Source organism: Homo sapiens, chromosome 2 (assembly GCF_000001405.40).
Source record: "Homo sapiens chromosome 2, GRCh38.p14 Primary Assembly".
NCBI classification, from domain to species: Eukaryota; Metazoa; Chordata; class Mammalia; order Primates; family Hominidae; genus Homo; species Homo sapiens.
The window spans coordinates 106,337,992-106,364,010 of NC_000002.12; the positions used below are offsets into that span (position 1 = coordinate 106,337,992).

A 26,019-nucleotide genomic window follows, 5' to 3' on the forward strand; every position below is an offset into this window, starting at 1 on the left:
TGATTATCAGTTGTACTCACTTCTTTGTGCTTCACATACAGTGTATTTGACTCGAAACTTCACAGGCTGAAGCACCTGGATCGTTTTGGTGCCTTTAGCCCTCTCTCCCTGTTGGAGTGTGGGCTTCTGCAGAGCAGGCACTATGCCCAGCCCACTGGATCCAGGCAGAGCCACCCTGGCATCTGGTCTAGTGCAGAGGGGGCCTTCAGAGCATGTTTGCTGACTGAATGAGTAAATATAGAAAGGTAATGCTATTTAGGGTAAAGATGAGACTGTTCTGTGAGTCTGTTACTTAATCCCTTATGCTGCATGCTCTTTCCTCCCACTCAGAGGCAGCTGTTTGAGGAGCACAGATCTCTCTGTCTTCTACAAGCCGAGAAGCAAATGGGAATTGTTGACGAAGCCCTGGTCTGGAGTTAGGAGGTCAGGCGTCTAGTCCAACCTTGCCTCTAACTAGCTGTATGCCATCAGGTCTGTAAAGTGCCTCCCGATCATTACTTACAGATAGACACTCAGATGGACATATGTCCTCTGAATGCAGAAACAGTCACATGGACAAACTCCTTGACCCCTGGCTTATGAGAAATGCTCAAGCACCAGGGTGATGAATTTGATGTGAGAAAGGCTTTTATTTTACACTCCAGAGGCAGGACAATTTTAAAATACCATCCACCATGGGCCTATATTCTTTAGGTGATATTGAGTGATCATTGAGAAGCAAAACAAGATACAGAGAGGGACTGAGAAACTAGAATGTGTCTCACCTTGCCCTCAATCAATGAGATTCACGCATTCATTTCTCAAATATGTATTGCTCACTATGTGCCCATGTACCAAGATTGGTGTGGGACTTGGGTGATCACAGTGTGATCAGGTTATGCGGGGTCCTCGCCCTTTCTGGGGCTCAGTTTCCTTGTTTCTAAAATTAAAACTTAGAAAAGATGTTCTTTAAGAGCCTTTCCAGATTGGAACCTCTGTGATTTTCCTCAGCCGTGGAAGCAGTCCCTTGCTTCTTGTTTATGTATCTATTAAAATCTTGGGTAACAGAATTTAACCATTTTTTGAGATTTAACCACATTTAAGCCCTTCAAAACTTCATGCTTTCCCAGAAGATGAATCGTGAGATACTCCAGTGTATCTGGATGGGGGAAAAAGAACAAATGTCTTGGGAAATTTGAAGATCTCTGTGTCTGTGCACAAGTCTCTTTCACTCAGCATTAAACCGTCTCTAAGTAGGAAACATCAAATTTCTCCCATCTCGGAAACTCATCCGTGTCTCCACATGTGGCTTCGTTTTTGAGAGACTGATTAATTTTTCATGCCTGTGATTCCCTGGCTTAGCCCCATGCAAGGACATGACTGCTAAAGGCCTGTCATAAATCTAATTATTTTTTACAAGTTCTATTATATGAGCAGCTGTGATGCTGTGGATGGGGCTGCTCACTAGTTCTGATGGCAAAGCGCAGGACACTCTCTGTCCTCTTCAGGGCCCTTTTCTCCCCTTTTCTTTTCCATGGCTTTGCCATGTTCTACCCTTCTTAGCACGGTCGATATAATCCAAGGTCACCTATTCCTGAAACAGCATAGAGATTTATGAAGCAGGAAAAGATAGCAAAGGGCTCCTGATTTGATACATCTCAGGAAAGAATCCAGTTGCAAAAAATGAGTTTAGTTTCACCTTAAAAGAAAAAGAAATGTTTAATATAAGGAAAGTTGATTCCCAGGGTTTGATTCAAGTCTGTCAGCTACAGTAGCTGAGACTTCAAGGTCTCAGGAGGAAGGAGAGCTCTAGAGATCTGAGCTGCATCACTATGCTTTCAAAGGAAGATGCAAACCCCTAAGGCCGGAACATGTCAAGATAAATTTTCTCTGCTTTGAAAAGAGAAACAGTTTCTCTTTTCAGTGAATGTTTGATACTCTCGAGGCCCCGATTCCCTTAGTTCAATGCCAACATTTTTCTTGTATTAATCTTATTTTCTCTCTCACATTTAGGTTGTAAGTCCCTTGTTCTTAGCCCAGTACATAGCACAGAGAAAGCCCTTAAATGAAGAATGAATGTCTGGCTCTGTTCTCTAATATGGGGTCCTATGTCATGCTAGCAGGAAATGCTTGTTTTTACAGTGCTCAATTTAGGCATATTTATTCTCCTACTGGTAGTTTCTAGGGATTAACCAAAGACCAAAACCTGCCTACTCAAGCCAAAGGGCCTGACAGTCACATCTTGAAGCTCTGACACTGCCCAATGGGGGGACCAATCGCCTTTCGTGGAAATATTTCCTCTTCACCCACTTATCAAAGATTTATTAATGACCTATTGTGGGCAAGGAACTCTACAGGTCTCCAGGGATATAATGTTAGGTAAGCCATGGTCCTTCTCCCATGAAGTGGGGGTGATAAAGTAGAGTTACCTGCTTTAAAAAAAAAAGTGTGCTGAATTGTGTTTTTATTTCAGATAAGCTAGGAATAATTTTTTTAGTATATTTATAGTAGAATCATGCTCCTTGCAATATGTGGGCCATACTTATACTACAGAATTATTCCTAGTCTATCTGAAATTCAAATTTAACTGGGTATCCTGTATTTTATTCATGTGTTACAGTGGCACCCACTGTCGTAGTCAGACTGTTGTCTGAGTTCAGGAGAGATAACCTAATTCTGCCTGAGCAAGGCAGGGCAAATTTCTCAGTGCTATTGGAAGAGTAGGGATTAGCTCATTTAATCTCTTGCAATTGTTGTCACTATTACACCCTTGTTTTTTTTTTTTTGTTTTTTTTTTGAGATGGAGTCTCACTCTGTCACCAGGCTAGAGTGCAGTGGCATGATCTCAGCTCCCTGCAACCTCCGCCTCCCAGGTTCAAGCAATTCGCCTGCCTCAGCCTCCTGAATAGCTGGGACTACAGGCGTGCGCCACCACGCCCAGCTAATTTTCGTATTTTTAGTAAAGACGGGGTTTCACCGTGTTGGCCAGGATGGTCTTGACCTTTCGACCTCGTGATCCACCCACCTCGGCCTCCCAAAGTGCTAGGATTACAGGCATAAGCCACCGCACCTGGCCTATGCCATTTTTAAGCTGGGAAAACTGAGAGCCAGAGGTTAAGTAGCTTGCCTAAGGTCAGTTAGCTAGTAAGTGTCTGTGCTGGCATTTGAACCTAGGCAGACTAAGCTATTAGCACACATGTAACCACTATGCTATCCTTATATTGCTACTTCTAATAATTTATTTATGTGATTTGCTGTACAAACCGTTTTCATATTTCTTGGCTTAAGTCTTTCACGTGATCCACACAGGGACTGAGAAACTCAGTAATGAATGCCACTTTGCCTTCAGTCAATGCGATTTATGTATTCATTCAGCACATGTTTATTAAGCATTCTGGGCTTTATGACCATATTGTCAGATTTGGTATCATGCTCTCTTTGGTATAAATTGGGACACATAGATTAGGTAAATTGCCTTTAATATTAAATATGTCATCTGGGCCAGCCCTGGAACTCCTAGACCACCTCCTGGGTCTATGACAGAACCCAGTTCTGCTTGGTGGGTATCTATTTCTCATTCAATAAAATGAGGAAAAATGAAAATAAATTCATACTATGACATGATGATCTTATCATCCATGTCAAGTATAGAAATACCATCCTTTTAGGTCTTTGAAAACAAAAGTGACCTTCCTATTGGGAGAATGTGTTATAGTATGTGGGTCTCACCCTTGAGTGGCCATCAGAGTCCCTTAGGGGCTTGTGGAACACAGACGGCCCGGCCCCACCCCCGAGTTTCTGATGCAGCAGGTCTGGGGTGACCCTGAACATTTGCATTTCTAGCTAGTTCCCAGGAGATGCTAATGCTGCTGGTCCAGGGACCACCTGCGGAGAACCTCTGGCACAGCAATGGGAAGGGTGAAATCAGAAAGCCTGGGGTCAGTGTCCAGCTTCCAGCCTTGAACAAGGCCAAGTTATAGAGCCTGACGGAGTCTGTTTCTTCATCCAGTTAGGCTCTTGGAGCCCTTCTGAGAATGAAATGGCATAAGGTAAAATAATAGTTATTTTTCTTGCTCTTCTGCTTTGGAGATACTACAATTGTGCTTCAGTGACACACACAGCATCATGGATTGCCTGTCTTGATTGCTTCTGCAGGTCTCAGCTGAGAAAAGGCTCCTGACTGATGGATGATGTGGGGGAGTGCAGGAATCCTATTTAGCTTGATGCTCAGCCCAGAGATGCCCGTGGTGAGGTGAGATGCACATTGGGGTCCTGCAGGCTGTCCCTGGGCCGTAGGACTACACCCTTGTCTTTACTTGGTTTTCCCGGAAGCAGAGCCTGAGACAAGGTGCAGTTTGTTTAGGAGGCGATCCCAGAAAATGCTGGCGGGAGAGCGGGAAGGGAAGCCAGGAGGGAAAAGAGGCATTAAGAACTCCTCCATAAGGCCAGTTATCACAGTGGGCATGGTGGCCTGGTCCGGCTGGGGGAGCTCTGGCTTTCTTTGGAGGCTTCTCTGGGGATCTTTATCTGTCACTCCTGCTGCCTGAGAAAGCTCTCAGGTGGGAGGTAGTTTAGCTAATGCAGGCAGCCCCAGGGCCTGGGGTCCAGAGATGCCCATGGCAATCTCCTCCATCCTCAGGCCTCTAGCCAAAGCTCTAAGGCACCCACTGTTAGTGGCCATATGCCATGCGCTTCACGTGCTCCAGGCAGAGACGAGCTCAAGAGCCTCTGGTCTCTGCTGCGGGTGGCGAGGGGCGGCTGGAACAGCATACTTCAGTCGTTCCGTGTCAGCCTCCACCCCTGGTAGCACCAGAGCCTCCCAGGCGTCCCCGCAGTCCGAGCCAGCCTTAGCACCCAGCGCTTTCTTGCTGTCGCCTGGTTGTTCCCGCGGCGGCCGAGCTCAGCACCTCTCACACTCCCTGCCTCTCGAGGACTCTGCTTGTTCCTCATCACAGCACGGTTGCTCTCGCACCCAAGGCGGTGTCCCCCCAGCGCCTCACCACGATCGCGGCAGAGATCTCCTGCAGGGCGTCCGGGCCTTGGGAAGGCATCGCCATCTCCCGCAGCGCCCTCCCGGACTAGCGCAGCAGGCTGGCATCGCTTCCTGAGGTTTGGCCCCAAGTTTTACGGCTTAATGAGGCACATAAATAGATAAATTGTCTTCATCACGTCAGCGATTGCTTTCACTTGGCAGGAGACCCACATATTATTGCACCTTTGGGATTCCCCTTCCTAATTCGGAGGCAATCACCATTATTCACATTTTATGAAATAAGAAGCACAAGCTCAGAGGGGGTTCAGAGAAGTTTAAACATGTACACAGTGGTTAAATGGTTAGGTTAAGATGACCATTGAACATTTAAGTTTAATGATTTATAAAACCATATAGACAGCGTGGGCATGTGATCTGTGAGCCGTGGTCCCCACGGAAGCGGTGAGAACGCACCTGGCCGGCTCAGCCACACGGCACGGTGGCCTAGGCCCTGCTGCGGGCTCTGGATCCAGCGGTCACGGTTTCACTGAGAGGGCGCCTCCCAGGGGCTGCTCCGGCCCAGGGCAGGGCATTGCAGGGGTGATGGGACAGCCCTGCTTTTGAGAGGCGCGGCACTCTGCCAAGGGCCACCCCTGGTAGCCCTGCCCAGCCTCCCTGGGAGCACACAGCTGTCTAGGATGCTTCTGGGCATCCTTTCCCTCCGTTCCACTCAGGGTCTGTGGTGCTCCACAGGGAGTCTCCAAAATGGCCCTAATGACCTAAAGACCCCCACCTCCTGCTCTCCACATCCTGAGTGGGCCCCTCCTATTTTTTACCGGAGCAAATCTGTGTGAGTGTGAATAAATTATCTGTGTGAATGGAATTCAGAAGAAGTAATGATTCGTGACTTTTGAGATTAGGTTTATAAGGGACTACAGCTTTCATGTTGGGCTGTCTCTCTGTCTATCTCTGTCTCTCTCTTTCTCACCTCTTTCTCTTCTCTCTCTCTTTCTTCCTGTCTATGTCTCAGATCACTTGCTCAGGGGCAAGCAAGTGGCCATGTTTGAAGTGCACTCAAGCAGCTCTGTGGAGATGCTCACATAGTAAGAACTAAATAAGGCTTTCAGTGCCACTGAGACCAGCCAGCAATCACATGAATGAGTTTGGAAGGGGTACAGGAGCCTTCAAATGAGGCTTGATTGCAAATTATAATTATTGTTTTTATTTATTTATTTTTTTAGCAATTGTATGTTACCATATGGGTAGAATTGGGTTTTGCGTTGTTATATAATCTAAACATCTTTTTTATTTAATAGGTGAATTAACTTGATAAGTGTTTAACAGGTGAATTAACTTGATAATTAACTTGATAAGGTGAATTAACTTGATAATGTGTTTGCTTTTGGAGAGGCGAGAGGCGGTGGAGCTAGAGGGGTGGGGGTGGGGAGAGGGAGTGGCAGAGTGACCTTACCCCTATGAGACTGAGAGAGGCCCCGGGCCTACCTCAAAGGAGTGGGGTCACAATGCTAGCTAGCAGCCAGCCCCCTCCTGGTCCCCGGGCCTGGCAGCACGGTGGCAGCTCGGTTGTGAAGAGGCGAGGAAACAGCTGTCCAGCTCCCTGCCATGGAGGGCATGGACGTGGACCGGGACCTGGAGCTGATGCAGAATTTCAACTACCTGAGCACCACCAACAAAGACGTGCTCATCTCCAAGTTCCAGAGGCTGCTCGGCTTCCAGCTCAACCCTGCCAGTTGCGCCTTCTTCCTGGACAGGACCAACTGGAACCTACAAGCAGCAATTGGTGCCTCTTATGCCTTTGAGAGCTCAAACATCAGTGTGCCCTCTGTGTCCTTTGTTGAAGATGTCACCCTAGAGGAAGGGTAGTCAATACCTCCTGATACTCAGTTTGTAAAAACTTGGTGGATCCAGAATTCTGTGGCAGAGGCCTGGCCTCCAGGGGTTTGTCCTAAATATGTCGGGGGAGACCAAGTTGGACATGTGAGCATGCTGATGGTGAGATTGCTAGAGCCGCAAGAGATTACAGATGTTATTGTCCAGATGTGCAGCCCCAGCAGAGCAGGAATGTATCAGGGATGGTGACGGATGTGCACTGCTACAGGACTCTACTATGGAGATGTCATCTGGGTGATTCTCAGTGTAGAGGTGGGTGGACTTTTAGAAGTAACACAGCAGCTGTCATCTTTTGAAACGGAGTTCAACACAACCGCATAGCAAGGTAGAAGGAAACTTCAACCCTTTTGCCTCTCCCAAAAGAACCAACAATCAGATGAAAACAACTTATAAGACCCTGGGGGTTCCGAGTTCTACTCGATCAGCAAAAACACATGGGCTGCTGCTCCTGACCAAGCTGAGCAAGACCAGAGCAGACTGTCACAGAACTCTGTAAATCTGTCTCCCAGCAGTCATGCAAACAACTTATCAGTAGTGACTTACAGTAAGGGGCTCCGTGGGCCTTACCCCTTCGGCCAGTCTTTTTTTTGGAGATGGAGTCTTGCTCTGTTGCCCAGGCTGGAGTGCAGTGGCGTGATCTCGGCTCACTTCAACCTCTGCCTCCCAGGTTCAAGCAATTCTCCTGCCTCAGCCTCCTGAATAGTTGGGACTTACAGGCACGCACCACCACGCGCAGCTAATTTTTGTATTTTTAGTCAAGATGGAGCTTCACCATGTTGGCCAGGATGGTCTTGATCTCTTGACCTTGAGATCCTCCTGCCTCGGCCTCCCAAAGTGCTGGGATTACAGGCGTGAGCCACTGCGCCCTGCCCCCTTCGGCCAGTCTTAAATGGGTGTCAGCAAGAAGAAAAATTAACAAAAGACAGAAGGCCTGACTTTGGGGGTGGGGCAAGGGGTTTGTCTGGATTGCAGATCGCATTGCACAGACCCCTGGCTCTGACCCCCTCTCATCCCGGAAGAAGAGGAAGAAGCAGAACAGACTAGTTTTGAGTAAACTTAGTATGTATGTGTGAAAAAAAAATACTGGCTCTTAGTTCTGTCCTTTCATTTGATACTAGCTACTTTGATAGTTATTCTTCAGGTTGTTCACTATATTGTTGGTTTTCTCTCTTTTGTGTGTGTGTGTGTGTGCGTTTGATGTTCAGGAATGCTTGTGTTTGTGTTGTGGTGTCTAGCCTTATATTTATACCGTTATGTAATAACTTTAATCCTCTTTTCCTTTAGTGGTACCTTATTCCCACCTAAAATGTGCAATATAATTACTGTTTTCTCTTTCCTTCTATCTCTCCTCTACTACCAAATATTACCCAGTACTACCTTTCTTAGTATTTATTTTTGTACTGTTAAATATGCTTAGACTTTTATTACATGGTTTGTTGGCTTTAAATAAAATCCTCTGACTCTCAGCTATTACTTATAAATCCCGCAATACATTTCTTTCTCTTCTGCATTGGCGCCCATCCACACCCACTTTTTTCCCCCTTTTCCCCCAAGTTTTTGTCAGCATGTATAATATTTACATATTATTTTCTCACTTCAACTTCTGAAACCCAGAGGTTTCAGCCTCAGTAGTAAAGTTAAATATATTTGATACTGATCGCCAGTCCTTTTGCCCAAATCTCCCCCATCAGCTCTTGCTTGACTACTGTTCGGTCTTCTGGAAGAGTCTTTAAAAAGGCTCGTGGGAATATTGTTTGAGCTTTTTCATGTTTAAAACAATTTATCTGTAGCTTTTATTTTTGAGAGCAGCTTAGATGGCTCTTGGGTCACATTTTCTTCCTTTGGGTATCTTATAGGTGTTGTTTTACTATCATTTAGCATTCAGTCTTTTTGTGACCAGACACATGTGTTCCTTTATAAGTGATTTGTGTGTGTGTGTGTGTGTATGTGTGTGTGCCTTTTACTATGACATGCTTCAGTGTTGACTATTCTGGATTAATATTTTCCTAGCAAACCATGATCCTTACATAGATATTAGTTTTCTTTAATTGCAGGAACCTTTCTTGAATTATATATTTAAATTGTGTGTTTCTGTGTGTGTTTTTTAAAGTAATTTCAACTTTTATTTCAGGTTCAGGACGTGCTTTGTTACATGGGTATATTGCGTGATGCTGAGGCTTGGGGTATGATTAATCCCATCATCATCTAGATAGTACCCAATAGTTTTTGTTTGTTTGTTTGTTTTTGAGACAAAGTCTTGCTCTTCTCCCCCAGGCTGGAGTGCAATGGCGTGAACTTGGTTCACTGCAACCTCCGCCTCCCGGGCTTAAGCGATTCTCCTGCCCCAGCCTCCCGAGTAGCTGGGATTACAGGTGTGCACCATCATGCCCAGCTAATTTTTGTATTTTTAGTAGAGATGGGGTTTCGCCTTGTTGGCCAGGTTGATCTCGAACTCCTGACCTCAAGTGATCCACCCACCTTGACCTCCCAAAGTGCTGGGATTACAGGTGTGAGCCACCGCGCCTGGCCAGTACCCAATGGTTTTTCAATCACTGCTGACTTTCCTTCCTCCCACCCCCATCTAGTAGTCCCCAGTGTCTGTTATTCCCATTAATGTATCTATGTGTTCCCAATGCTTAGCTCCCAGTTATAAGTGAGAACATGTGGTCTTCAGTTCACTTAGGATAATGGCCTCCAGCTGCATCCGTGTTACTTCAAAGTGTATGATTTTATTCATTTTTATGGTTGTGTAGCAGTCCGTGGTGCATATGTACCACATTTTCTTTATCTAATCTACTGTTGATGGGAACTTAGGTTGATTCCATGGCATTGATATTGTGAATAGCTCTGTGATGAACATACAAGTACATGTGTCTTTTTGGTAGAACAATTTATTTTCCTTTGGATATATACCCTGTAATAGGATTGCTGGGTCGAATGGCAGTTCTAAGTTCTTTGAGAAATCTCCAGACACTGCTTTCTACAATGGCTGCACTAATTTACATTCCCATCAACAGGGTATATGTGTTCCATTTTCTCCACAGCCTTGCTTGCCAGCATCTACTATTTTTTGACATTTTAAATAATAGCATTCTGACTGGTGTGAGATGTTATCTCAATGTGGTTTTGATGTGCTTTTCTCTGATGATTTAGTGATATTGATCATTTTCTCATGTTTGTTGACTACTTGTATGTCTTTTAAGAAGTGTCTGTTTATATCTTTAGTTCACTTTTTAACAGGATTTTTTTTTTTGCTTGTTGAATTGTTTACATTCCTTATAGATTTGGATATTAGACCTTTGTCAGATGCATGGTTTGTGAATATTTTCCTCTCATTCTGTAGGTTGTCTGTTTACTCTGTTGATAGTTTCTTAGGCTGTGCAGAAGCTCTTTAGTTTAATTAGGTCCCACTTGTCAATTTTTGTTTTTGTTACAATTGTTTTCGAGGACTTAGTGATAAATTCTTTCCCAAGGCTGATGTCCAGAATGGTGCTTCCTAGGTTTTCTTCTAAGATTCTTATAGTTTAAGTCATATATTTATGTCTTTAATCCATCTTTAATTTTTGTATATGGTGAAAGGTACAGATAGAGCTTCATTCTTCTGCATATGGCTAGCCAGCTATCCCAGCACCATTTATTGAATAGGGAGTCCTTTCCCACTGCTTGTTTTTGTCAATTTTGTCAAAGATCAGGTGTGCAGCTTTACTTTCGGGTTGTCTTTTCTGTTCCATTGGTCTACATGTCTGTTTTTGTATCAGTACCACGGTGTTCTGGTTATATAGTTTGAAGTCAGGTAATGTGATGTTTCCAGCTTTGTTCTTTGCTTAGGATTGCTTTGGCTATTTGGGCTCTTTTTTAGTTTCATATGAATTTTAGCATAGTTTTCTCTAGTTCTGTGGAAATGATGCTGGTAGTTTGATAGGAATAGCATTGAATCTATAGATTGCTTTAGGTAGTATGGCAATTTTAACAATATCAATTCTTCCAATCTGTGAGCATGAATGTTTTTCCATTTCTGTAATCTCTTTCAGCAGTGTTTTGTAGTTCTTCTTGTAGAGATATGCTTCAATGTTGACCACTCTGGGCTCATTTTTTCCCAGTGAACAATAAGCCTTATACAGATGCCAGTCCTCTTGAATTTCAGGAACATTTCTTGATTTCAATATTTAAATTTTTCTGTGGTTTATTGTTTTGGTTTTCTTCTTTGGGAAAAAAATAAATTTCTTTAGTCATCTTCATGTGTCTTCCAGTTATTCTATTTTTCTCTGTAATTCGTTTAATTTTCTGACATATCCATTTCATTGTATTCTCTTTTCTCATTTGTAACCATATATATATACATTTCTAATGTTTTTTCTTAAAATGTCTGATCTCCTTATGTGTCATTTAATTTTGTGTTTAAATTTGTAGCAAGTCTTTTCTTTTACTACTTTGTGGATATCTTCCCTGAAATCTTGCATTTCTGTTTCTGGTTTTTCTTTCTAAAGTTAATTGCTTTGATACATTTTTAAAATATTTATTCTTTTGTCGTTGTTGTTGTTGAGATGGAGTCTCGCTCTGTCACCCAGGCCGGAGTGCAGTGGCGCGATCTCGGCTCACTGCAACCTTTACCTCCCAGGTTCAAGTGAGTCTCCAGCCTCAGCCTCCTGAGTAGCTGGGACTACAGGCACACGCCACCATGCCCGGCTAGTTTTTGTATTTTTAGTGGAGACCGGGTTTCACCATAATGGCCAGGCTGGTCACGAACTCCTAATCTCAGGTGATCTGCCCACCTTGGCCTCCCAAAGTGCTGGGATTACAGACATGAGCCACCGCGCTCCGCCTAAAATATTTATTCTTATAATATCTTTATATCGGTGTTATGTAGTTCTTTTGAAAAATTTTATTTTTCTACATATCCATAAAACTATTGAACTAATTGGCTTTTTATGAGCCAGCTATTTGCAGGAGATGTGTGTGTGTGTGTGTGTGTGTGTGTGTGTGTGTGTGTGTGTATAGAGCGTTGAGAACTGGAGGGAGGGAAGGGGAAGACCAGGTTGGTTTCCTAAGCTTCACAATTCAAAGGCTCTCTCACTTCTCCCACCAAAAACAAAGATTGCTTCTGCATCTATTGATCGGGCATATGATTCTTTCCTCTGCTTCTATGAATCAAACATAGTCTAGCAATGTTTCTTCTACTGGCTGTACTTACTCCAATATCTCCAGCCATTGCTACAAAGGATGAATATAGTCTTTCCCTTCTAGAGTGAGCCACTTACATCTATAGCATAGCATATATTTTTAATGGTACATTCTGAGTTGTGCCTTTGCAGGGTCCCTTATCACCTGCTCATTATTTTTCTGTCTCCTTCCACATGACATGTGTTTTGATATTTTAGCATCTGGAAATTATTTCTATTTTTCATTCTCCATTTGCTTTTGTTTAATTTCCAAGCAGAGAGGAAAAGTATGCAGACTTATGTATCTATGTAGTGGAAGTGCTCACTGACATCTCCTGAGTAGTCTTCTTTGTAATTAACAACATAGGTTAGCAAGATGACTAAGTGAGATGAGACTAAGGTACAATTTCTGTTCCGTGTTTAATTTCTTTTTTCTTTTTTTTTTTTTTTGAGACGGAGTCTTGCTGTGTCGCCCAGGCTGGAGTGCAGTGGTATAATCTCAGTTTACTGCAACCTCTGCCTCCCGGGTTCAAGCAATTCTCCTGCCTCAGCTTCCTGAGTAGCTGAGACTACAGGCACTTACCACCATGCCTGGCTAATTTTTTGTATTTTTAGTAGACAGGGTTTCACCGCATTAGCCAGGATGGTCTCAATCTCTTGACCTCGTGATCCGCCTGCCTCAGCCTCCCAAAGTGCTGGGATTACAGGTGTGAGCCACTGCGCCCGGCCCTGTGCGTTTAATTTCTTGCGACTAGCTGGTTGGTCAGTGAGACCACTTAGCTAGCAAAAATAAGTAAACTAGTCTGACAAAATTGTTCTAATATGCACAATCCAAAAATATTTCCACAAAAATGAGTATTTTTATTTACTAATTCAGTTGAACAGCAGCAACAACAATAATAATAAAACACCAGGGGCAATTGACAAAATTACAATCTGAGGATTTTACTTTTGAATTTATGACCATAGTCATCCTTCTGCATTTTGTCATAATTTCTTACATTCATGAAAGATGATAAAAACCGATTTGAATGCAGTTTGTTAATGTCATGAAATATTATTTTAGAGAAACATTAAATCACATCTAGTGCCACTGCTATGGTTGGAATGTGTCCCCTTCAAAATTCAAGTGTTGAAACTTACTGGCCAATGTGATAGTATTAAGAGGTGAGGCCTTCAAGAGGTGATTAGGCCATGAGGGCTTTTCCTTTGTGAAAAGGATTAAGGTCCTTATAAAAGAGACTTCGTGTAGCATTTGGCTCTCTTGCCTTCTTGCCTTCAGCCTCCAGAACTTTGAGAAAATAAATTTGTTCTTTCATTTTTTGATGTTATGACTTTGGATTTCTATTCTTTATAAATTACCTAGTCAGTGGTGTTCTTTTTTTTATTTTTTTAAAGAGGCACAGAGTCTTACTCTGTTGCCTAGGCTGGAATGCAGCAACATGATCATAGCTCACTATAGCCTCAAATTCCTGGTTTCAAGTGACCCTCCCACCTCAGCCTCCCGTGAAGCTGGGACTACAGACATATGCCACTGCACCCAGCTAATCTTGTAAGTTGTTGTTGTTTAGTAGAGGTGGAGTCTCACTAAGTTGCCCAGGCTGGTCTCAAACTCCTGGGCTCAAGTAATGCTCTTGCCTTGGCCTCCCAAAGTGTGAGGATTGTAGACATGAACACCTAGCCTAGGTCTGTGGTATTCTATTATAGCAGCACAAACAGACTAAGACAGAAGCTCACTAAACATACTTCTATTAAGGCTGTTTTGGCTAATCTTTTGCCATTTTTTTTTAAGTAGTGCAACTTGGCTAAAAACATTGTCAAAGTGCTTTGAGGGTATTAGATTCAAATTCTGTTTGCATAGTTTTATTGTGTTTGGGCCCTAGAAGTAAAGCTTACTCAGTAGAAGGATGTTTTCCAGTACAAAGAGTTGAATTTTGGGCTCCATGGTAGCATGGTAATAAAAAGTTATGGCATTAAATACAGTCCTAGGAGTTGCTTTTCGATTTTTGGCCAAACCCAAAGATGCAGATTATAACTTATGTCTTCATCACTTCTTTGGAAGCTCGTGAGTCCCTTCCACAAATATTTCCACAGTAAATGGAAATCTGTCCTCCATAATAGCATACCTGTGGTCAGATCTTATGGTATTTGGAAGATAATTTTTTTAAAATTCTTTGCAAACTAAAAGAGACAGACCTTTTGGGTAAATTTTTATGTCTTCTTAGAAATAGGTATCATAATTTTTGGTCCAGGAATGTAGATAATGTCAACTTTCTAGAACCCAGATTCTTTGTTTTTCAAATGACAGAGACTAGATGAATTGCTTTTTAATGCCTCTCAAGTTGTTAACTGAAAGGTGGGTGTAGAGCTATCTCAGAACACAATAGTTTTGAGGAATAACTTTTGAAAGTCATTGGGTAGGATGACCACCTATGCCCCATTTGCTTGTGCTAACTTTTTCTTTTGAACACTTATTCAGGGATGAGCAATATTGGGGCAAAATAGAGATTATTAGGCAGATATTATTATCTACTCTCAGATAACTCTACTATTTGTGATTACATGATTTTAATTTTATTCATTTAGGTAGTTAAAAAAAAATTAAAGTTTTTTCTACTTAAACTACAATTACTCCCAGAAGGGATTATGCCTTAAGCTTCTGTTACTGAAGGCTTTTATTATAATTTAGTACTTTAGACCAAAATTATTGGCATTCAATTTTACAAGACTGTTGTGGTTCAGAGATTGTGTCTTATAAATATAGGGAGTGGGGTGGGGAGGAATAGGGAGTTGAAAGTCCCAGTTTTTTTTTTTTTGTTTTTTTTTTGTTTTTTTTTTTTTGAGACAGAGTCTCACTCTGTCGCCCAGGCTGGAGTGCAGTGGCACAATCTTGGCTCACTGCAACCTCCGCCTCCCGGGTTCAAGTGATTCTCCTGCCTCAGCCTCCCGAGTAGCTGGGATTATAGGTGCCCGCCACCACGCCTGGCTAATTTTTGTATTTTTAGTAGAAACAGGGTTTTGTATTTTTAGTAAAAACAGGGTTTTGCCATATTGGCCAGGATGGTCTCGAACTCTTGACCTCATGATCCGCCCGCCTTGGCCTCCCAAAGTGCTGGGATTATAGGCATGAGCCACTGCGCCTGGCCTATAAATATTCTTTACCAAGTTAAGAAAGTTTGTTTTTATTTCTAGTTTGCTGATGATTTTTAATTGATATGTAACATTTGTACATCTGATATTCTGTTACATGCATAAAATATGTAATGATCCAGTCAGGGTATTTGGGGTGTTCATCACCCTGAGTATTTATCATTTCTATGTGCTGGGAACATTTCAGGTCTTCTCTTCTAGCTATTTTGAAATATACAATAAATTGTTATTAATCATAGTCACCCTACTCTGCTATTTAACATTAGAACTTATTCCTTCTAACTATGTGTTTGTACCCATTAACCAATCTCTCTCTATTTCCCTCCACACCCCCTGCCACTACCCACACACCCTTCCCAGCCTCTGGTATCTATCATTCTACTCTTTACCTTCATGAGAGCAACTGTTTTAGCTCCTACATATGAATAAGAACATGCGATGTTTGTCTTTATGTGCCTGACTTATTTCACTTAACATAATGACCTCCAGTTCCACTCATGTTATTGCAAATGACATGATTTTATTCTTTTTAAGGCTGAATAGTATTCCATTGTGTATATGTACCACATCTTCTTTATTCATTCATCCACTAATGGACATCTAAGTTGATTCTACGTCTTCGTTATTATGAATAGTGCTGCAATAAACACGGGAGTGCAGATATCCGTTTTATATGCTGATTTCCTCTCCTGTGGATAAATACCCAGTAGTGGGATTGCTGAATCATACAATAGTTCTCCTTTTAGTTTTTTGAGAAATCTCTGTACTGTTTTTCATAGTGGCTGTACTAATTTACATTCTCATCAACAGTGTTTGAGTTCCCTTTTCTTTGCATTCTTGGAGCATCTGTAAATTATTTTGTCTTTTTAATAATAGCCATCCTAATTGGGGTGAGATGCTTTCTCGTTTTAGTCTCGATTTGCATTTCCCTGATGATTAGTGATGTTGAACATTTTATCATAAACTTTCATAAACTCATTGCTGGCCATTTGTGTGCTTTCTTTTGAGAAATGTCTACTTATGTCTTTTGTCCCCTTTTTAATGGGATTTTCTTTCCCCACTGTTGAGTTGAGTTCCTTGTATAATCTGGATATTAGTCCCTTGTTGGATGAAAGGTTTGCAAATATTTTCTCCCGTTCAACTGGCTGTTTCTTCACTCTGTTGATTGTTTCCTTTGTTGTGCAGAAGTTTTTAGTTTAATGAAGTCCCATCATTCTATTGTCATTTTTGTTGCCTGTGCTTTTGAGGTCCTAGCCATAACATGTTTGCCTAGACTCAAGTCCTGAAGTGTTTCCCCTACGTTTTCTTCTAATCATTTTATAGTTTCGAGTCTTACATTTAAGTCTTTAATCCATTTTGAGTTGATTTTTGTATATGGTGAGAGAAAGGGGTCCAGTTTCATTCTTCTGCTTATGAATATCCAATTTTTACAGCACTGTTTATTGAAGAGTGTCCTTTCCCTGAGGTATGTTCATGGTGCTTTTAAAAAAGGTGTTTGTTTTTACCAAGTGTTTTTGCTGCACTACTGATATGATCATGTCTTTTTCTTCTTTATTGTATTAATGTGGTAAGATACATTGTTTTATTTGCAAACGTCAAACCAACCTTACATTCCTTGAAAACTCCAACTGGTTGTGATTTTTAAAATTATTGCTAGGCTATATTTTCTAATATTTTCTTTGAGGTTTTTGCATCAATGTTCATGAAAAAGCTTGGTTGATAATTTTCATTTCATTTGATGTCCACAGATTTTGATATTCAAGTTTTCTCCTCATTTAATGAGTGGAATGCAGTCTTTCTTTTTATATTTTCTGGGAAATTTATGTAATATTTTTGTTATTTCTTTCATAAACATTTATAGGAATTCACAGGTAGAGCCATCTAGGCCTAGGATTCCTTTGTTAGCAGGATTTAAATTCCATATTTGATTATCTATCTTTTTGTGTCCCTGATTATTTTATATAAATGCCAGATGAGTATGTATGCTATATATAACTGTTGTGTGAAGGAGTTACATATACAAAGTGACTCTCAAATGTGGAAAGATCCAAGAAACCAAAGAACTAAGCAGACAAATCTAGTTTGTCGATGGAGGGCAATTTATTAGGGAACTTATGGATGGAAGCATGGTCTCAAGCAGCTGCAAGACAGGTAGATTTCCACACTATTACTTCCTAGACTCAGGGCTTACATACCATAGGGAAAGGGGTATGCGCTCTACAGAAACAATTGAAGGCAACCCTCTAGAACAGGCAAGGATGCTGTGTGCGTCATGGCCTATAATCTTGGTGACCACATCAAGGGTGCTTGGATCTAAAGGCAGGATTTATGTTGAGTACATGTTCTCACACTAAGAACAGCAAATAAAGTAGGAACCAGGAGGCATTCACGGGACTGGAACTAATCAGAAGTCAACATGGCAGATTAGCATCCAAGATGGAGTCACTTTTGTCTCCACAATAATTGTAGTTAATTTGAATCTCTGTGTGATGTTATCTTCCTCAAGAGAGGATTTACTATTGTTTCTCACAGAAGGGTGGGTCCTTTAATCTAATCAGAGAGTGAGATGACTTGAACCTGGGCCTCATTCTTTGGGAGGATACTCTATTTCTGGCACCCCTGTCTCTAGGGTTTACCCCTTCCAAGGTCCAAACTGGAAGCTTGGGTATCTATTAGGGTCCCTTGTTTTTGCTGAAAGAAAATAGCCTTCTTTGCTTTTCCCGCCAGTTCCTTGGAATTGTTTCAAGTTACACTTAGTTTCTCAGCGGCTGCTGTCTGTCCTGACTGTGTGCTTCTCAGTCTATGTTGTCTGAGTGGCAAATGTCTCCAGGAGAAAAAGTCAGATCACATGTTGGGCTGACTTCCCTGGGTTTCCCATCTCTCTGGGATCTTCACAGTGATATTTATTTTATTATCTCTAGCTTTTCTAGTTATTAACAATGAGGAGGTTGGCCTGAAACAAGTTAATTCCACCAAAGTCAGAAGTAAACATTACACATTATCCTTGAATGAAAGCATAAAGGAAAGGTGGCTTTTAAAAAGTAAGTACTCCTGTTATTAATACTTATCAGTGCAAGTCCAACAGTCTTAGGGAAAGACAATTAAATAAACTTTGAGTTTTGAAATTTTAATTTGCACTTTGGGTAATGCATATTCTAAACTGAGAAAAGTAATATCCATTAGTAGAATGTGTTTATCCAAGAATAGAGACTCCTCGTTCTTTCTAGCAGGATAAGTAGTGATTGCTGAACTTTGAACTGGGTAATAACAAGTTGATACTAAGTATTGTACTTATTATTTACTCTTTACTCTTGTGCACTTTCATTTCTCAAATTGTACCATGGAACAGTTGGAGCACAAGTCGAAACAAATCTAAAAATATTCTTGTGAAAAATGAATCATACACCAGCTGGTTGCTATGTTTTTGTTGACAGGAACCTGAGGACATGTATTGTGGCTTTATTTTCTAAATAATGATGTGCTCTTTTTTTCAATATAAAAATAACACCACCAGACAGCAACTTTAAAGCATGGACTTTAGGCTGTTTTTAGCAGTACTGATAGGTTTACCTTTACCCACTTGCCCTCACCTTTCCCATCTGATAGAGTCCTGCCCATATCTTGCATTTATGGGATGAGTCCTCAGGTTATATATCGAGTCTACTCCCTTAACTAGAAATCTTAGACTCCTAAACATAGCGTTTTCTCTACTGAGCTAATAGGCCCAGCTCGAGTAAAACCAGGTGCTTAATGTCATTAGTAAAGACTGAAATCTTATTAAGATAAATTATTTATGATGGGTGATGCAAAGATTCAATTCAAAGTGGTATAAACTATCAACATACAGGAGCCTGAGTTACTTTTTGTGCACTTATAATTTCCTTAACAGAATGAACTTCAGTGAAAGGGGGGAAAATAAACTTAATTTATATTCTGGGGGAATTAAACACATTGATCTTTAACTAGTATAAGCCCAACAATTGTTTAAAGGGAGAAAAAATCATGCTGCATGTAGCTCTTATTCAACTGTCATAAACAAATTAATGATCAGTGGTGATTCCAAAAGTAAATGTGAACCAGGCACGGTGGCTCACCTCTGTAATCCCAGCACTTGGGGAGGCCGAGGCAGGTGGATCACCCGAGGTAACGAGCTCCAGACCAGCCTGGCCAACATGGCAAAACCCCGTCTCTACTAAAAATAAAAAAAATCAGCCAGGCATGGTGGCAGGCTTCTGTAGTCCCAGCTACTACTCAGAAGGCTGAGGCATGAAAATTGCTTGAACCCAGGAGGCAGAGGTTGCAGTGAGCTGAGATTGTGCCACTGCACTGCAGCCTGGGTGACAGAGCAAGACTCCATCTAAAAAAAAAAAAAGAAAAAAAAAAAAGCAATTGTACATTAAATATAATGCTGTTTAAATTTTGAGCCCTTCTGAATTATGTAAAGTGTTTGTTTAATAAAAGTGAAGTACCCTTTAAAACTGTGCTCTCCGATACAGTGGCCAATTGTCATCTGAGTGACTTTGAGCACTTATAATGCAAAGAATGTGCATTGAGGTGGGCTGTAGGTGTAAACCTCATACCTGATTGTTATTCACCTGAGTGAATAACAAAAACAGGAATATAAAATATCTCATTAACTATTTTAAATATTTATATGTTGAGGTGATGTTGCTTGTACATTAAATTAAATGCAAAATATTATTAAATTTAATTCTACCTGTATTTCTTTTTACTTTTTAATGTGGTGACTAGACAATTTTTAGTTTCATATGTGGTTTACATTATATTTCTATTGGTCAGAACTGCTTGAGAAGCTCAAAAATGTTGGACAACATTTAGGAATGTAAGAGTAAATCTCTCCACATCCAGTATTATTATGAAAAGTGGAATATTTCTAAACACAGATGCTCCCTTCCTGCAGAGGGGCTGCAGACACCCTAACTCCAGCCCACAGAGACCTACTGCGGCTCCTCACCTTCAGAACTGTCGGATAATGAATCTGGGTTATTTTAAGCTACTGAGCTTGCAAAAATTTGTGACAACAGCTAGAGGAAACTCATACAAACACAGAGGATGAAACTGAGACTCTAAGAATTAAGAAACTTAACCAAATCACAGGTGTTTGAGGAGCGTCTGTGGTCAGACCTAGGGCTTCTAATTCCCAGTGTAGTGATATTGATCTCACACCACTGATGCAGTGAAAGTAATAAACCGAGAGACCGCTATAAACTGAGGTCACAGCTGTCCCTTCTTCTCAATGCACTGAAGAAAGCCTCCTTAGAGAAAAAGCAATCAAATATTAGATCAGTAAATTGCTTTTGAAATTTAAGATGTTATGGTCTCCTTTAAAAGTATTCTTGTAATAAGACACTTAGGAAACGTGTCTTTCCTTTAGTCAGTGGGTGGGAGGAGAGTGAAGTTTGAAACAGACTGTAAAAGAGATGAATTTTAATATTAATCATTTATGCACTCATGACTATGAGCTCAGAAATGAAGGTTATTTGGGGAAATATCCTTGAAGAATTGGTGCAAAGATTGCTGGAAACCATCGCGGACATCATTATGCGGAATTCGTGCCACATTCTTTTAACTCTTCATGAAGCAGAGAAAAATGCCTGATTCTCAGCCCTCACAGGGTTTATGGCTCAGTCAGTTACAGTGTTGCAGGAATGGGGCCACTGTGGAGGAATCGCAGAGTACTCTGTGGTTCTAGGTCACAAACTCACTCCCACATTCTGGGAACCTACTTGACAATGGCAAGCTGGTAGTCAAAAGCCAGGTTGAGGGCAGCTTTTCTTCTTCCCAGCTCTCTCCTTTTCCTGTCCTTGCGGGTCCTTCTGTTCTTCCCTCCTGCCTCTGGCCCTTCTCTCCTGCATCCCATCCGTTAGGCCATCCCATCTGTTCCCCTGGCCAGTTTTCTCCTGATATCGCTGGAAGTTCCTGCTGGCCTTTGTGACAGGGTCAACTTACCCAGGACTCTACAGGTCCTAGTCTCCACCCACCTTCTCTTCTGTCGCATTCGTCAGCTCAGTAACGCTTCCCAGGTGATCAGTCGCTCAGGTCAGACACCGGGGCCCTCGCCTCTGCCCTGTCACCTAGCCACTGGCCTTGTCCCTTCCAGGCCCTTCCCCAGGGATCCTTGAGGGGCCCTCGGCTCGGCATGCCTGTCCAGCCCTGCAATGTGACACTCTCTTTTTGGTCCATGCCCACCTCCTGCCCTGCCTCTGTCGTCCTGCTTTCCTGCTTGGAAGATTTATTCTTGCTTCAGGGCCCTTGCTCATGCCTGTACCTTTTACTAAGAATGACTTTCCTTCAAGTATAGGACCTGGCAAGGAACTTCCCACTGATCTTTAAGACTCATTGCAAGCTTTATGTTTCCTAGAAAGCTGGCCCTGACCTACAGCCCTCCCACTGAGGGAACTGAGGCCCCTGCCACTGGGTGTTGGCACTGCCTCTGCAGACACCTACTGATGCCTGTGGCCTGGGCCGATGCTGGCCACACTGCCTCCACTCTGCTGAGTGCTCGCCTCTGCACAGAGTCTCTGCTACACTTCATGGCTAGAACATGTGTCTCCTTATAGCCGGATCGCGTCTCAGCCTCATGCCTCTGGGGACTGACGCACCTGTTAGGTGGGAGCTGCTCAGTGGAAGATGAGCAAAATCATCCCAGTCACATGTCAAGAGATTCGTCACTAAAAGAACAGATCATGTAGGCATGAATGTTTGGAATATTTATCTCATCATTACATTTCTGTAGAAATACAGGAGCACGTGAATAGCATACTTTTTTTGTTTTACAGAGAACTATTGCTTTCTTTAAAATGGCAAAACAGGCTGGGCGTGGTGGCTCACTCCTTTAATTCCAGGACTTTGGGAGGCTGAGGCGGGCGGATCACCTGAGGCCAGGAGTTCAAGACCAGCCTGGCCAACATTGTGAAACCCTGTCTATACGAAAAATAAAAAAATTAGCTGTGTGTGGTGGCTCATGTCTGTAGTTCCAGCTCTTCGGGAGGCTAAAGCATGAGAATCGCTTGAACCCAGGAGGCAGAGGCTGCAGTGAGCTGAGATCATGCCACTGCACTCCAGCCTAGGCGATAAAGTGAGACTTGATCTCAAATAATAACAATAATAAATACATACAATAAGATAAAATAAAATGGCAAAACAGAGTTGAAGAGAAAAATGACAAAAACTGGATTGCTAATCATTTTACATAAAGTCATCCAGCAGGGAAATATTTCAGGAAGGTATTTTTCTTTTTCTTTTTAACTTCTAAAAAGCTTATTATGGAAAAGTGCAAAGATACACAAAAGAAGAGAGAATAGAGTGTAATGAAGCCCTATGTAACCACCACCTTGTTGCAACAATTGCCAACAGCTTGCTGATTTTATTTTATTTTATTTTTATTTTATTTTATTTTATTTTATTTTATTTTATTTTATTTTATTTTATTTTATTTTATTTTATTTTATATTTTATTTTTTGAGATGGAGTCTCACTGTGTCACCCAGGCTGGAGTGCAGTGGCGCGATCTCGGCTCATTGCAAGCTCCACTGCCTAGGTTCACGCCATTCTCCTGCCTCAGCCTCCCGAGTAGCTGGGACTACAGGTGCCTGCCACCATATCCGGCTAATTTATTGCATTTTTAGTAGAGACGGGGTTTCACTGTGTTAGCCAGGATGGTCTTGATCTCCTGACCTCGTGATCAGCCTGCCTCAGCCTCCCAAAGTGCTGGGATTACAGGCGTGAGCCACCACGCCCAGCCAGCTTGCTGATTTTAATGCATTTATCTTCACACATTTTCTTTCCTGGAGTGTTTTTTAAAAATCTAAAGACAAGCAAATCCTAGACAGTATATCATTTCACCTGTCACTATTTCAAGATATACTATTATTAAATATGGACCTTTTTCTTAACATAATTACCTTTGTCACTGCTCCCAAATCAACAATAATTCCTTGGTGTCATATAGTACTGTCCATACGTATGGTCCATGTTCAACCTCTCCTGATTGTGTCCAATATATCTGCTAAGAGTTGGTTTGTTTCATTTGGGATAAAAATAAGTCTACACATTGCATTTGGTTGATTTCTCTCTAAAAGTATTTTTAAAAATATTCATTTTAAAATAATTTCAGACTTACAGAAAAGTTGCAAGGATGGCACAAAGAATACTTGGATCCCTTTCACCTAGATTCATGAATTATTAAACATTTTGCTACATTTGCTTTACCATTCTCTGTGTTTGTCCTATTTTTCTGAATCTTCTGAGATAAGTTGTCCTTTAATGTCTAAATACTTTTGTATATTTCCAAAGAATAACTAACTACAGAATAGATATAATCCTACATTTTACCATCATACAATGACATAATTTAATCCACAGCTCATATTCAAATTCGGTAAAATGTCCCAATAATGTCCTTTATAGTGATTGTGTTTCCTAATCCAAGATCCAATCCAGAATTATGCATTGCATTTGCTGTCCTTTCTCTTTAATCTTCTTGGATCTGGAATAGTCTTCATGCTTTTTGACCTTGACATTGTTTTCAAGTACAGGCCAGTTACATGGTAGAATATCCTGCAATTTGGATTTTTAGGATATATTTGAATAATTAGATTCAGGTTATATGTTTTTGGCAAGAACACTTCAGAAGCGATATGTGATCCTCTCAAAGTATCTTATCAGAAGGCACTTGATGCTAGTGTGTCCTAGTATCGGTGATGCGAGATCTGATTGCTTGGTGAACATGACATCTGCCAGTGTTTTCCAGCTCAAAGTTTTTATTTTTCACTTTAGAATTCATAAGTAATTTCTGGGGTGATACTATGAGACAGTGCCAATATCTGTTTCCTCATTAAACTTTCATCTACTAGTTGTAGCATGCACAGATGATTTTCTAACCACATTATGCCTTCAAGATTTATTAGTTGGCTTTCTGTTGTAAAGGCAAACTTACCCGTCTCCATTGTCTCTTTCTGTCTATGTGCACCTTTCCATTCGTATTTTGTTCGGTGGATTATCACCCACTGTGCTTACCACTCATCTGCCCTGATCTGGCCAGTGGGATTCTCCTGTGTCTCATGCCATGTCCCCATCATCCCTTGAACACTCATACTTTCTGGCACAAGGAGATATTCCAGGATCATCTGTGCTTTCTGTGCTCCATCCCTGCATTTGGCCATTTCTCCAAGGAATCTTGGTGAAAGACCAAATTTTAACCACCACTTCTACAATAATGGATGGTGCATCTAATGTTTTTGAACTCATATTATTTTAAAGTTAAGCAAGAGATTCCACTTCACAACTAAACAAAACAATTTGAGCTGAGTTAAAAAATAAGCTTAAAAAACCCCTTCAGTTTAACATTATTTGTTAATTGATACTATATAAAATGTAAACCTTTTTTAAAACTCTGGATATAGGCTTAATATCATTTACAATATAAGTAATCCAGAGTGACCTTCAAAGCCTTTGAATTCCTGCTTCATTTTCTGAAATGGAATGGGCACTTAGTTGTCTGACTAAATTATTTACCAGCATCACTGAAAGGAACTGATGGACTGTCTCCCGTGGACTGTCTCACTCCAAGGCAGCATGACTGCCCCTTAAATTGAGATGGAAGCTCAAAAATCTTTTGTTTAGATTTCTACCTCTTGTTCTTTGGAAGCTCTCTCCCATGTATCCCTCAATAGAAGATGGAGTTCTGTTGTTCAGATTACACCATAGCAGTGCCTCATCAATTTAAGTGTTCATAGGAGTCACTTGGAGTGCTAATGAAAACTACAGATTCCTGGCTCCCCTTCATAAACATGCAAAGCTGGGGTGGGGCCTAGGGATCTGCATTTTAACAGACTCCATCTGGAGTCACTTGGGGAGAATGACTATCCTAGTGTCAGTTAGCTTGCTATGAATGATGGAGGACCTTTAGCCATGGAAGACGTGAAATAGTAATTTGCAGGTAGAAAGTCTGCATGTGGCTACTTGGAATTAGCTCATTTTATCTGCATCAGCAGCCACATCTGAATAGTCTAAAGAGAAAAGGACTTTTCACATGAAAAAAGCTAGAGATTTTCTACAACTTGATTTTAAAAGGGTGTGAAACTGTGTGGTTTGAGAATAGAGTGAAAACATTTATCACAATGACACTGATATCAGAATGCAGAATGAATTGTAGTGACATCAATGTTCTCAAACGAAAAGTTTGGTAAATATCAAAAGGAGATGAAGAGAAGACAGCTCCAGAACTCTGTTCAGCAAACTGAAAAAGGTAAGCTCTTTTCACTGCGTTGCTTGCTTCAGTTTTCAACTACTGGTCTCTGTCTGAGATCTGAGATGAAGTGCACATTGGAGAGGATTCTGAGGATTTGGGTTTTTTTTTTTTTTTTGGTGGAAAAATAATATGTGGTATAAAACATAGTGGAGGAAAGTGAGTCATTAAAACTGAAATGTTTAAGAACTACTAGATTACATAGGAGTATTAATTATAAAATTCTTCCTCCAGCATCCTGCAATCTACCTTTGGAAAGTCCTGGTGTCCCCTGTCCTACAACCACAGTGCAAGAGTTAATATGGTTGTGGTGAGCCACTAATGTGCTCACCAGAATGTCCCTGCCTTTCTGGCACATGGTAGGATTGTACTTTCCTGTCCTCTTGGTGTTAGTGGTGGCCACGTAACTCGCTTTGGCAAATGCTAAAGTATGAGTTGAATTGACAGGTGCCAATTCCAGGCAGACCTTTAAGAATCAGTGCATAATTTATCATGCTCACTTCCTCTGCCATGGTAAATGGAAATGGTCCAGATGGTAGTAGCTGATCTATTAGTCAGCCCTGGTGCAGGAGGAAGCT

General features: G+C 41.4%; 1 pseudogene, besides 2 other annotated features; it reads left to right on the top strand.

Annotated features, from left to right (window-relative positions):
* Positions 1-6,574: 6,574 nt before the first annotated feature.
* ILRUNP1 (ILRUN pseudogene 1) lies at positions 6,575-7,212 on the top strand (annotated as a pseudogene).
* Positions 20,072-20,211: an enhancer, noted in NCBI's record as "active region_16340". NCBI's record gives its function as "activates an Ori minimal core promoter by ATAC-STARR-seq in GM12878 lymphoblastoid cells {active_cell/tissue: GM12878}" and the evidence as "EXISTENCE:reporter gene assay evidence [ECO:0000049][PMID:35858748]".
* Positions 20,332-20,461: a silencer, noted in NCBI's record as "silent region_11848". NCBI's record gives its function as "represses an Ori minimal core promoter by ATAC-STARR-seq in GM12878 lymphoblastoid cells {active_cell/tissue: GM12878}" and the evidence as "EXISTENCE:reporter gene assay evidence [ECO:0000049][PMID:35858748]".